The sequence below is a fragment of the Homo sapiens genome, chromosome 7 (assembly GCF_000001405.40).
Source record: "Homo sapiens chromosome 7, GRCh38.p14 Primary Assembly".
In the NCBI taxonomy this organism is placed as follows: domain Eukaryota; kingdom Metazoa; phylum Chordata; class Mammalia; order Primates; family Hominidae; genus Homo; species Homo sapiens.
In genome coordinates, this window is record NC_000007.14 from 72,941,505 (window position 1) to 72,954,793 (window position 13,289).

Genomic DNA, 13,289 nt, shown 5'->3' on the forward strand with positions numbered 1-13,289 from the left:
TCTTAGCGCCTGGCAGGTGAGCTTAGTAGGCAAATAAAGTATATCTAGATTCATACGTGAACTTCAGAGTTCAGACAATTGGACTGTCTTAGTCTCTACACATTAGGCCCCCATTTAGGCCCCATTTTATCCCCTTCTGTCTGATGATCTGTGAGGTAGAAATAACACTTCCTTGATTTACTGTACAGGCCTGTAGTGTAGACTTAGCTGAGTTTATTGACTGACTCTTGGATCCCAGGCTCTGTGGTAGGCGTGGGGAGGACACTGAAATACTGAATACCATCATCTTTGAAGTGTTTATTCCAATTTCACATTTTCTATTCTTCTTCCAGAATCTGCTGGAGCAGCAACCACTGAGGCCCTCTCACCTCCAAAGACACCCAGCCTCCTACCCCCGCTGGGTTTATCACAGTCAGGGCCGCCAGGGCTGCTCCCCAGCCCCTCCTTTGACTCCAAACCCCCGACCACTTTGCTGGGGCTGATCCCTGCTCCATCCATGGTACCAGCCACTGACACCAAGGCACCTCCAACCCTTCAGGCAGAGACGGCTACCAAACCCCAAGCCACATCTGCCCCGTCCCCCGCCCCCAAGCAAAGCTTCCTGTTTGGAACACAGAACACCTCACCTTCCAGCCCTGCCGCCCCTGCTGCATCTTCAGCACCTCCCATGTTCAAGCCCATTTTCACGGCTCCACCCAAGAGTGAGAAGGAAGGCCCCACACCGCCTGGCCCTTCAGTCACAGCCACAGCGCCCTCCAGCTCCTCCCTCCCCACGACCACCAGCACCACAGCCCCGACCTTCCAGCCTGTCTTTAGCAGCATGGGGCCACCTGCATCTGTGCCCTTGCCTGCTCCCTTCTTCAAGCAGACAACTACTCCCGCCACTGCTCCCACCACAACTGCCCCGCTCTTCACTGGCCTGGCCAGCGCCACCTCTGCTGTGGCTCCCATCACCTCTGCCAGTCCATCCACAGACTCTGCTTCGAAGCCTGCGTTTGGCTTTGGCATAAACAGTGTGAGCAGCAGCAGTGTGAGTACCACGACCAGCACCGCCACTGCCGCCTCACAGCCTTTCCTCTTCGGGGCGCCCCAGGCCTCTGCTGCCAGCTTCACCCCGGCCATGGGCTCCATATTCCAGTTTGGCAAACCTCCTGCCTTGCCCACAACCACCACAGTCACCACCTTCAGCCAGTCCCTGCACACTGCCGTGCCAACGGCCACCAGCAGCAGCGCTGCCGACTTTAGTGGTTTTGGCAGCACCCTCGCCACCTCCGCCCCGGCCACCAGCAGCCAGCCCACTCTGACGTTCAGTAACACGAGCACCCCCACGTTCAACATTCCCTTTGGCTCAAGCGCCAAGTCCCCGCTCCCATCATATCCGGGAGCCAACCCCCAGCCCGCATTTGGGGCCGCTGAGGGGCAGCCACCGGGGGCCGCCAAGCCGGCCCTTGCCCCCAGCTTTGGCAGCTCTTTCACTTTTGGAAACTCTGCAGCCCCGGCTGCTGCACCCACACCTGCACCTCCGTCCATGATCAAGGTCGTGCCTGCGTACGTGCCTACGCCCATCCATCCTATCTTTGGCGGTGCCACGCACTCGGCGTTTGGGTTGAAAGCCACGGCTTCGGCCTTCGGCGCTCCCGCCAGCTCACAGCCCGCCTTTGGCGGCTCCACTGCTGTCTTCTTCGGTGCAGCCACCAGCTCCGGCTTTGGAGCCACCACCCAGACCGCCAGCAGCGGGAGCAGCAGCTCGGTGTTTGGCAGCACAACACCATCACCCTTCACGTTTGGGGGTTCGGCAGCCCCCGCTGGCAGTGGGAGCTTTGGGATCAATGTGGCCACCCCAGGCTCCAGCACCACCACCGGAGCTTTCAGCTTTGGAGCAGGACAGAGTGGGAGCACAGCCACCTCCACCCCCTTCGCAGGGGGCTTAGGTCAGAACGCCCTGGGCACCACCGGCCAGAGCACACCGTTTGCCTTCAACGTGAGCAGCACAACTGAGAGCAAACCTGTGTTTGGAGGTAAGGAGGGGCGTGGACTTGGGCTACCGGGCCGGACACTGAAAAGCTGTGCCTGCGAAGCCTGTGGTCTCGGGGAGCTTATGCTGTGGCAGTGAAGAGACAGGCACTGAATATAGAACTCAGTGAGATGCCAGGGAACGATACATGTTTTGCTAACGTAGTAATGACTGGAGGAGCCATTGTGGATTTAACTGGTCAAAGGCCTTCTGAGTAGTTAACAATTGTAAGCTGAAGGTTGGGCGCAGTGGCTCACGCTTGTAATCCCAATATTTTGGGAGGCCAAGGAGGGTGCATCACTTGAGGCCAGGAGTTCAAGACTAGCCTGGACAACTTGGCGAAACCCTGTCTCTACTAAAAATACCAAAAAATTAGCCGGGCGTGGTGGTACCCACCTGTAATCCCAGCTACTCAGGAGGCTGAGGCACAAGAATGGTTTGAACCCAGGAGTTGGAGGTTGCAGTGAGCCAAGATCATGCCACTGTACTCCGGCCTGGGTGACAGAGCAAGACTCTGTCTCAAAAAACAAACCGTAAGCTGAATATGGGGGTGGGCACAGCACAAGTGGACATGCCTTTCAGGCCCAGGATGGCGCATGCAAAGGCCCAGAGGCAGAAACATGTTTGGTATGTTGAAGAGCAGAACAAAGACAAGCATGGCAGGAGGGCAGGAGCTAAAGCAGTGGTGTGGAAGGAGGCCAAGAGGCAAGGATTGTTTGTGGCCAGGGTTGGGTGTTTGGGTCTTAAGTGTTCAGGAAAACCATTGCAGAATCAGGCAGAAGGATGCAGTGATGGTTCCTCCCATGTGGAAGATGAATGTAGATCCCATGGCTTCTGTTTGCTTCGTGAAGTAGAGAAAATCTGGGAGAGAGAGGGTCAGGATAAAGTGTATAAAAAAAGGGGTCTTTTGAAATAGTCATTTTGGACAGTGGGGGAAAGGAACATCATATTAAAAAGTGTGATCAGTTTCCAGGCAGTTTGTGGGCTGGAAAATTGTGATTGTGAAGTTAAAGTGAGGCCAGTTAGCATGGCATGTGTTTCCCAGCGACACTGTGGGTGTAGACCTAAGGTCAGCGGACAGCTGGTGCCACCCGGCCATGGAGACCCCAGCAAGCACAGCAGGAGGGGCAGCGGGTCAGTGCCCCGATGCAGCTCAGGGGGTGCAGGAGTGGAGAGCGGGTGAAGTCAGCTGCAGGAGGGGTGGTGCCTACAGGAGATTCGGGAGCCGGAGCAGTTGTGGTGACAGTGTGGCTGCAGGAGTGGTGGCAGGGGTCGGGGAGAGGAGGTCATGGGGGTGGCAGGGTTGAGGGGCTGAGAGGACCATCAGTCAGCCTCACAGGGCGAAGTCACCGTGAGTGGTGATGGGAAGGAAGCCAGTGAGCCAAGGGTCCTCTGTGAATCAGGGAGTGACCTGGCAGTTGACAGGTGACATGAGGACATGGCAGATTAAAGTGATCTGAACTTGAGTTACGGTATTTAGGGAAGGAAGAGAAACAGTGTGGAAGCAGCGTGGGAGCACAGGGAGCTTCCTCTTGTCCGGGCCGGAGGCCAAGCCCTGAGAGCAGCCATCCCTGCAGAGGGGCTGCCAGAGAGGGCCTCGGGCAGGCAGCCAGAGCCAGTCAGGGCAAGGCCGGGGAAGGGAGGGGACCACGGGGCATCACAAAAGACGCGGGACGGACAAACCAGGCTTCAGAGGGGAGGGGACGGTGGCTGGGGGAAAAGGCCTGAACAGAGGAGGTAGCCAACCCAGGTACGCTAGGAGGCGGGGGCCCCAGAGTACTCCCCTCTGCAGCGATGGTCAGGAGGCCCACGAGGTGGCTGCGGGGCAGGGGGGCTTTTTCTCTGCCCTGGCGTGGCCATTAGCGGGTGGGAGAAGCAGGCTGAGCTGGGGCACCAGGCATGAAGACTCGGTTGTCTGGCTCAGCTGCTGATGGAGGAGTGCCCCAGAAGCAGAAGTGGGGCTGAGGGTCCCGTGGGAAGTGCCCTGCGGAGCACAGGCTCCTGCCCGGCTCCTCGCTTGCCTCTGCCCTCTGCTCACTGGCCAGCTCTCTGTTCTCTTCATTCCAGGCACCGCCACCCCCACCTTTGGTCTGAACACCCCTGCGCCTGGAGTGGGCACATCAGGCAGCAGCCTCTCCTTTGGGGCATCCTCAGCACCCGCCCAAGGCTTTGTTGGTGTTGCACCTTTCGGTAAGCAGCAAGCCACCCTGTGGCCCTGCTCATCTGTCTGAGGAGGGGTTGGGCGGGGTGGCAGGTTCCTGGTCCTCTGAGGCCCGGTGAAGATCAGGTTCAGCACAGGAAAGACATTTCGGGTTAGGAGTCCAGCACAACCCAGGGATGGGAGTTGGATGGCAGAGATCAGAGAGGAGCTGTCCGGGGTGGAAGTTTGCCTCCCATGGGAAGCCAGGTAAAAATGGATTCTTGGGCCTCGCTCTGAGACTCTCTGGGAGTTTGCATTTCAGGAGGCTTCTCCCGTACAGTGTTTCTGATGCAGCGGGGAAAGCCCTATTGAGGCACCCTGTGTTTTATTACTGGCCTGGCCTTCCAGAGATTTGGGCACCCAGAGTCAGAGTCTCAGGTAGCAGCTGCCCTGATGAGGTCTTGTTGAATCTTTCCAGGATCGGCGGCCCTTTCATTTTCCATTGGTGCGGGATCCAAGACCCCAGGGGCTCGACAGCGACTGCAGGCCCGAAGGCAGCACACCCGCAAAAAGTAGCCTTTGTCCCCTGTCCCTGTTCCCCCCACCCCTTCCCTAAATCTGGACCTTGGCACCTGCTAGGAAGAGCCTTGGACCCTTCCAGTTGCGTAAAGCAAACCTACCCCGGATCTCTGGCTTCAGCCGCCAGGGGGCAGTGGCAGCCCTGGGGCCCTTTCCCTTCTGGAGGAAGCACAAGCCTCAGGGAAGGGGAAGCAGGATGCGGAGGGCCAAAGCCCGGGACCTCTACTTGAACAGTTCTACTGGGGAGGCTGGAGAACTAAGGAAACACCTGTACATAGTGTCCGCTGCCCTGACTCCCGCTTAGCACACCCTTAGGCAGGCGCCCCTTCCACCTTTCCCCGAGACCGTCGTCGCTGGAGGGGGCAGGGTCCAGCCCGCCTGGATCGGTGGTGTGCACCTGATGGGATTTGGGAAATGGGCTATCCGTAAAGCTTTATCTTGCTTGGCTTAGCTGTGAGAAGTGGTTCTCTTCCTCTGGTCCCTTCTGGGGACTCTGTTTCCCCATTTCTTGCTGCTGTGTCCCTCACCAGTTCCTTGCAGGATTCCTTCGTTTTTAAATGCCCTTGAATCTAGCTTTGCCTTGGAGACCCCAGTGGGTGCTGCTCCTGCCGTTTTCTTCCTGCCAAGCCTGAATCAATGTTTCATCTCCAACCCTCTGCCAGTTTGGCCCCTCAGAGCTTGGTGGCTCAAGACTGTTAGCCTGGCAGAGCCAGGGGTGAAGGGAGAAGCTCTTGGAGCAGGCAGGATGCCCACCGCTGCTTCAGCTGCCTCCTCGCCCAGCTACCCTTTGGCCCCATTGGGCCCTCGTCTGCCTCTCCAGGATTGTATGTTTCAAGCCTTGTCCTGTGTTCCTTTGTCTGATGCTCTGTGTATTGCTCTTTGAATCGAGTTTGGAGGAAGAGTTGAGTTGTATGAGTGGCGGCATGTTGGTAGTGCCGGACTTCCTGTTTCAAGTTTTCTGGGGCCTCGCTAATTGAATGTGGAAAGTAGCACCACTTGACGGCTACAAGTGCCGACTCCTGAATTTTCCCATGGTGTTCTGACTTCAAGGGCTGGCAGCCAGGGAGAATGGGCCCAGGGGAAGCAAAGACCTCTTCCCTCTGCCGTTTCTGTCCCACTTAACTGACCTCACTGGAGGCTACATCACCCAAAGTAGATGTTAGAAAACCTAAATTAATGAACCATATTTTTAAAATCCTATTTTTCCCAAACAGGGCCCTCTGCAGCCCATCCTTTCCTTCCGTCCTTCTGAAACCACATACCCCAGGCCCAAGCGCCTTGCTGCCACGCCCAACCTCTTTGGGAGAAGTATGAATGCGTGTGTCTAAATTAAAAGAAAAAAATATTTAAACGTTTTTTAACAAAAATTTATTTTTGTATTTAAGCTAAATTGCCTTTTAAATTCCTTCAAGCTTGGTTCATTGAGGTGGTTAAGTATAAATGCTATTAACTAGGAATTAGCTGTATAGTTAAGTTATGCCTGTGCAAAGAAGAGGCTCAAATGCTGTCCCCGGCAGCTTTCCTGGGGGACTAGAGCTCCTTCTGGCCATGTTATATGAAATGTAATTCTTATTTTATAAATAATGTGATGTAAATGTAACTGGTGCCCCCTCCCCGATGTGACTGAGGGTGAGTGAGTGGTGGCGGGGCTGCTCCTTCCCACCCCTCAGAACAGCTCTGATCCTCGTTAATACCTGGCTGCGTGTGCAGCTGAGGAGGGAGTGAACCTCAAGCCTAAATACCTGTTAGGATTGGAGGGTCTGGGTGGGCCTGGGCCTAGCAATCAAGCTTCTACCTGTACCTTATGTAAGGTAGACCCTCCTAGTGTCAGTACCTGAGCTAGTTTACCTCAGTTCCGCAGGCAGGACAGCCGGTCCGGGAACCCTGAGTGAGAATGAGTGTGGATGTGTACAGTACACGCACTGGACGGCAGCGGGAGGCTGGGACTTTCCATTACAAATAGAGACTTCATTCCTGTTGAGTCTAGTTGGAATTTTTAGTATGAATGTGAGATTTTTCTCCTGCTTGTGACATTAAGAATAAAAAACTGTGATCTATCGTAGAGTACGTTCTGCATTTTATTTCTGCAGGCAACACTTTTGCTCACCAGCAAGAACACAGCCCGAGGAAGGGACCCAATAACCTTTCAAAACGCAAACTGCTGCCTGCGGTGAGGGCCCAGGGTCTTCCACGGAGAGGACAGGCATCTTCCTTTCCCACCAGGAAGGAGTGAGCCCGGAGCCTCTGCTATGTGCAAGGCGGTGTGCAAGCACCGGCTGCAGCTTTTTGCTCTCTTCTTTCTCTTTGGGGCTGGGCTGGGTGTGCGTTCTGGTGCTGATGCTTTGGCCTGTGAGGCTGAGCTAGAGAAATGTAGATGTTAGATGTGCCAGTACCATCCTGCGCCTCCCAAGCATGCCCCCACTCACTCACGTCGGCATCTCGACCCGTTCAATTACAGCAACGAAGAAGCCACCGCTAAGCGTGGTCTTGGGGGAAGCCCGGAGGCAGTGCTCGGCACCCGGGAACGTGCTCAGGCCTCGGTGGGGCCGGGCAGGCAGGGCGGGAGCTAGCCTGCAAGAGAAACAGCCCCAATGCTGGGTAAGAGAGCAGTTCACCCCATCCCCCCCTCCACGACCCTGGCGCACGCCCTGTACCTGAAGGCGCCCGGGTTCTGCTGCAGCGCATCTTGTACCATGTCTTCATTCTCCTCCTGGCAGAGGGAGCACATGGAGTAGACGAGCCGCTGCAGGGAAGGGAAAGTGAGCGCGTGGCACAGGGCTCGCTGCTGGAACCCTGCCAGGGCATGCAGACGCACCGGGCTAGGTGTCCCTGCCCCGGGCTCCTCCAGCTGTCTGCTCGGCATACCTAAGGAAAAGCGTGTCTCGGTTACACAGCTTCACAGGCTGCCTCAGTCCTGAAATCCTCGCTCCTGAAATCCTCGCTTCACAGAGGAGAACTTTTGCTCCAGGGTCCCAAGCCCATTAAAGTGTCAGAACTAAGACCAAAACAGATGACTCCAGGTCTAAGCTGCTGTGGACCTCTGAGTCCCTCAGCCACGCCTTCTCACCATCTCACCCGAGCCACTGCAGGAAGGATCCAGCAGGACATAGTGGACCTCACGATAGCGCGGATCTAAGGGGGAGACCGCCAGGAAGTCCTCCTCAGCCAGCTCACAGCAGGAGACGCCAGCCCAGGCCAGCAGCGTGGCCATGGATGCCAGCCGCCTGGCATCCAGGTCAAAGGCAAAGATCTTCCTAGGGCAGAGGGCAGAGCAGGGGTGAGCTGAGCATGCATGGAGCAGCTAAGGGCCTGTCACAGCTGACACAGACAACCAGAACATGCAGGTTAAGCCAGGACACACAATATTGAAACAGCCTATATTTAAAGGGCCCAGGGTCAGAGGTAACTGGCCTGGGGTCTCTGCCCCAAGGGCTAAGGGATCCACATCTCACACCTGCAGTGGGGAAAGCTTAGCTTGGGGCAAATACCGTGAACTACTTTGGTGCAGCAGGAAAGAGTTAAGCGAAAGTCATCCTTTCAGCCTTCATTACCCACTGAAAGGCACAAAATCAAACCCCATGTCCTCCTCCTCCTCCTGTGGCACTCACCCTTGGTTCTTCAGAAGAGCAGCCAAGTGACTGGTCTTTATTGCCTGGGGTGGCACAGGCATCCATGACATGGGAGCCTGGCGGGGGTCCAGCAGCATGGCTGGGAGACAGCTGGCCTGGCAGGCAGAACACAGGGGCCGGGTAAACAGAGACCCCAGGCTAGGCCCTTCCCGTGCCTACACATTCTTCCCTTTTCTATTCCTCTTGCCTACCCTGTCCTGCAGAATGAGGTGTCCGGCCCGGTACAGTGGGTGTTCATGCAGATCTGTCTGGGCGGGAAACACCAGCAGCTCCGGCATCAAGGGGTCCAGGAGAAAATGCTTCCCCTTGAGGGCTCGTAAGTCATCGAGGCTGCCAGGGAAGAACCATTCATTCATCATTTCCTGAATTTCTCCCTGCCAGGCCCTATTTCAACGGTCCATTCATGCAACAAATGTTACCACAGCTATGGAGAAATCAACAGGGTGATAAGGGAATCCGGGATCCGCAGTTGAGGGAATGGGTTGTCAAGCCAGACTTATGGGTCAGGAGCCCCCTCTACTGTTTACCAGCAGTGGGAGCCTGGGCAAGTGATTCAATCTCAAGCCCCACTGGCATCTCTGTAAAATAGTAGGTGTGAGGATTCAATGAGCCAATATATCCAAGATACTTACGTGCCACAATTTAATAAATGTTAGCTATTCCTGTTGAAGCATAACCTTGGAGAAAGGTTACTTTACAGGGGGGTGAGGAGTGGGGAAGTGAGAGCTGAGCTCATTCTTGATGGATGAGGAGTTAGTCATGTGAGGCGCTTAGGTTAAAACTACATTCACTATAACTCAGTAAAGCAGTCCCGCCCACTCTCCGACCCATGCAGAAATAGGCCTAGGGAGTCACATGTCTCAGTTCAGAAATCTATCGAAGTGGCAGAGCTGGAATTCAAACACAAGCAGCCGTTCTCTGCTATTCCACCCTGGTGTCCAAGCAACATGGTAGGGCAGAAGGAAGAGGATCTTACAAAGAGTAAGGGAAAGGGAGAGGGGCAGAGGCTGCTTCTCAGAGCCACCAAAGGACAAAATAAGACAGGTGTGAGCCCAGTGGAGGAGGCACGGGGCAGAGACCAGCCACTGTTGCTGGCACGCTGGTGCACGTAGCACTGTGGCAGATGGACCTGGAGAGGAAGCAGGAGGGACAGCACAATGGAGCCAAGAAAGGACTTAGCATGGCCGGGCGCGGTGGTTCATGCCTGTAATCCCAGCATTTTGGGAGGCCAAGGTGGGCAGATCACCTGAGGTCAGGAGTTTGAGACCAGCCTGGCCAACATGGAGAAATCCCGTCTCTACTAAAAATACAAAATTAGCCAGGCATGGTGCTGCATGCCTGCAATCCTGTAGGGAAAAGAAAGAGAGATCAGACTGTTACTGTGTCTGTGTAGAAAGGGAAGACATAAGAAATTCCATTTTGACCTGTACCTTGAACAATTGGTTGGCTGAGATGCTGTTAATTTGTGACTTTGCCCCAAATTTGAGCTCACAAAAACATGTGTTGTATGGAATCAAGGTTTAAAGGATCTAGGGCTGTGCAGGACATGCCTTGTTAATAAAACGTTTACAAGCAGTATGCTTGGTAAAAGTCTTCGCCGTTCTCTAGTCTCAATAAACCAGAGGCACAATGTACTGTGAAAAGCTGCAGGGACCTCTGCCCTGGAAAGCCAGGTATTGTCCAAGGTTCTCCCCATGTGATAGTCTGAAATATAGCCTCATGGGATGAGAGGCTGTGCCCCAGCCCGACACCCGTAAAGGGTCTGTGCTGAGGTGGATTAGTAAAAGAGGAAAGCCTTGCAGTTGAGATAGAGGAAGGGCACTGTCTCCTGCCTGCCCCTGGGAACTGAATGTCTCGGTATAAAACCCGATTGTACATTTGTTCAATTCTGAGATAGGAGAAAAACCACCCTATGGCGGGAGGCGAGACATGTTGGCAGCAATGCTGCCTTGTTATGCTTTACTCCACAGATGTTTGGGCGGAGGGAAACATAAATCTGGCCTACGTGCACATCCAGGCATAGTACCTCCCTTTGAACTTAATTATGACACAGATTCCTTTGCTCACAGGTTTTTTTGCTGACCTTCTCCTTATTATCACCCTGCTCTCCTACCGCATTCCTTGTGCTGAGATAATGAAAATAATAATCAATAAAAACTGAGGGAACTCGGAGACCAGTGCTGGTGCAGGTCCTTGGTATGCTAAGTGCCAGTCTCCTGGGCCCACTGTTGTTTCTCTATACTTTGTCTCTGTGTCTTATTTCTTTTCTCAGTCTCTTGTCCCACCTGATGAGATATCCCACAGATGTGGAGGGGCAGGCCACCCCTTCATAATCCCAGCTGCTCAGAAGGCTGAAGCAGGAGAATCGCTTGAACCCAGGAGGCAGAGGTTGCGGTGAGCCGAGATCGCGCCAGGGCACTCCATCCAGCCTGGGAAACAAGAGCAAAACTCTCTCAAAAAAAAAAAAAAAAAAAAAAGGCTTAGCAGAGGAGTAATGCATCAGATCTGCCTTTAGAGCTTCCTACAGTCAACCTCAAGGAAAATGCAGTGAGACAGTCTGGAAGCAGAGAGACCAGTCTGGGAAGTTCTTGTGGTCATCCCAATAAGAAATGAGTGCTTAACCTAGGCAGTGTCCGGGGGAATTAAGAGAAAGGAGTGGAGGCCGGGCACTGTGGCTCACGCCTGTAATCCCAGCACTGTGGGAGGCCAAGATGGGCAGATCACCTGACGTCAGGAGTTTGAGACCAGCCTGGTCAACATGGTGAAACCTCATCTCTACTAAAAATACAATAATTAGCTGGACATGGTGGTGGGAGCCTCTAATCCCAGCTACGCAGGAGGCTGAGGAAGGAGCATTGCATGAACCTTGGAGGTAGTGAACCAAGATCATGCCACTGCACTCCAGCCTCGGTGAGAGTGACAGAGCGAGACTCAGTCCTAAAAAAAAAAAAAAAAAAAGGAGTGGAGCTGAGAAAGATGCTCAAGGTGGAGGAGTAAATGATTGGAGGGAGGGGAAGGAAGCACCTAGGATGACTCGGTTTCTGGCTTGACCAAATGGGTGGAAAACGGTGACATCTGTTAGATTAAACTGGGGATGTACTAAGTGTAAAGTCTGAGAGGAAAGATGAATGCAGCGACTGTGGCATCTGTGGTGCATTCATGTGAACCTAAGGAGGGAAGAATGCAAAAGGGAAGTCTACACTGGGCGGTGAGAATCACCAGGTGGGAGGCAGGAGCTAAAGTTAGAGAAAAAACGGAGAGCTCCGGAAGAATGTAGGATGGGGCTCCTAGGAGTTCGATGTTTAAGGGATGCGAGGAAAACAAACCTTGGAGATGGAGAAACTGCTGGAAAGGTAGGAACAAAGCCCAGAGAGCAAAGTCACAACTATCCAACCACTTCTCTTCCCAGTACCCCAGACACCTCCCTAGATGAGGACAGCCAGGGCTCTAAGCTCTCACCTGGAAGCCCGACCCTGATAGGAGAAACCTTGTCTCTTGAAATAACTACATAAACGGAGCAGGTCTTGAGAGTGTTCACACGCACAAATCGAGGCAGCTGGGAGGCTAGGTAGGACGCAATGAGCAGTGAGTAGGCAGGAGCAAAGTTCCCCACCTCCCCCGCCCCTCAACTCCTTCCAGCTCACCTGGACCAGGCCTGGATCCCACTTCCAACAGGTCCTCATGCCAGCTCACACCCCGAAGAACCTTGAGCCGAGCCAACTCAACACCTCGCCTGGTGCCGTCCCAACAGAGCCTTCCATTGGCCCCCACCCCCTCGAAAGCCCTTTCCCAACAACTCATACACTAGCACCTGGGGATGAGGGATCAAAGACAGAAACGCCCTAAGCAAGAAGTATGAATGCCTTAGAACTAACTCTAATAGAGCCCGGGCACTGGAATGGCTAAAGAGATCACCTGACTAGATGGTTACAGATAAAGGTGGGGTACCTTACTCAAGACCACACCAGAAATTAACTACACAACAGGATCGGAACCTGGCGTCTCGCTTCCCAGCCTTAGACCCTTTCCCCACAGATGTTCACCAGTAGACCTCTGCACCCAACTTCTTGCCAACATTACCCTTTCGTGGGTGTGGGTTTGGGGTTTTTGTTTTTTTTTAGAATGGGGTCTAGATCTGTCGCCCAGGCTGAAGTGCAGTGGCCACATCACAGCTCACTGCAGCTTCGAACTCCTGGGCTCAAGTGATCCTCCCCCCTCAGCCTTCCGAGTAGCTGGGACCACAGGTGCGCGCCGCCACGCCCGACTTCCTTACTGTCTCCGCTACTACTACTTTGTACTTCGGTTATTTAATCCTTCAAAACACTCGAAGTTAAAGCATTTTCATCCCATCTCAATTCGTAACCCAGGGAAGGTCTGCTCATACTCATTTCAGGTGAGCGACTTGCTCCAGTCCCGCCGTGCACGGCAGCGGGGCTGAAACCAGATGACAAAGCGCTGACCGTCGGGGTTCACTTCCCCGCCCCGCCCCTACCCTTGGCCAGGTGCGGCTGCAGCTTCTTCGCACTGAGGAGGCCGGCGCTGGAGATCACGGCATCCAGCACGGCGGAGTAGCGCTGCGTTTCGCACACCAGCGCGTACAGCTGCTTCACGTTCTGTGTGGCCGAGGGAGACAAGCTGGGTCGGGGGCTCCCCCGGCCCTCCTCGCCGGGCCCCACCTCCCGACCCCATCCGGGCCCGTCCCACCCCACCCCGGGTTCCTCACCCCCCACCCCTACTTGTGGCGCGCGGGCCCGCTACCTGGAAGTTGCTGGAGTACACCAGCCCCTTGATAGAGCCCTGGCGGCTCTCCACGCCGGCCAGCACGCCTGCCACCGCAGCGTACAGCCCCATGTTCCCGCGCGCCTTTACGGCTCTGTCGCAAAGCGCACCCGGCTCTGCCCCCGCCCGGACTTCCGGGGTCCAAGGG

At 54.8% G+C, this 13,289-nt stretch overlaps 1 protein-coding gene and 1 pseudogene across 25 annotated transcripts in view; one reads left to right on the forward strand and one right to left on the reverse strand.

Moving 5' to 3' along the window:
* POM121 (POM121 transmembrane nucleoporin) overlaps window positions 1–9,955 on the forward strand; it is a 72,103-nt gene extending 62,148 nt beyond the window's left edge. For 23 of the 24 annotated variants that reach the window (NM_001387688.1, NM_001367610.1, NM_001387689.1 and 20 more), the window contains 3 exons: window positions 333–2,018; window positions 4,082–4,204; window positions 4,633–6,795. In NM_001387688.1, coding sequence (NP_001374617.1) covers window positions 333–2,018; window positions 4,082–4,204; window positions 4,633–4,730 — 1,907 coding nt within the window. In that variant the 3' untranslated portion in view covers window positions 4,731–6,795. Of the gene's footprint in view, window positions 1–332; window positions 2,019–4,081; window positions 4,205–4,632; window positions 6,796–6,823 lie in introns of those variants that run through there. The other variant, NM_001257190.3, reaches the window with a different exon arrangement.
* Window positions 6,789–13,259, reverse strand: NSUN5P2 (NSUN5 pseudogene 2; annotated as a pseudogene). The gene is made up of 11 exons (NR_033323.3): window positions 13,121–13,259; window positions 12,855–12,975; window positions 12,007–12,173; window positions 11,822–11,926; window positions 10,648–10,791; window positions 8,554–8,692; window positions 8,342–8,457; window positions 7,809–7,987; window positions 7,388–7,598; window positions 7,164–7,304; window positions 6,789–7,093 (listed from the first exon to the last, which is right to left on the reverse strand). The product of NR_033323.3 is annotated as an NSUN5 pseudogene 2 (transcript).
* Between the last annotated feature and the right edge of the window lie 30 nt (window positions 13,260–13,289).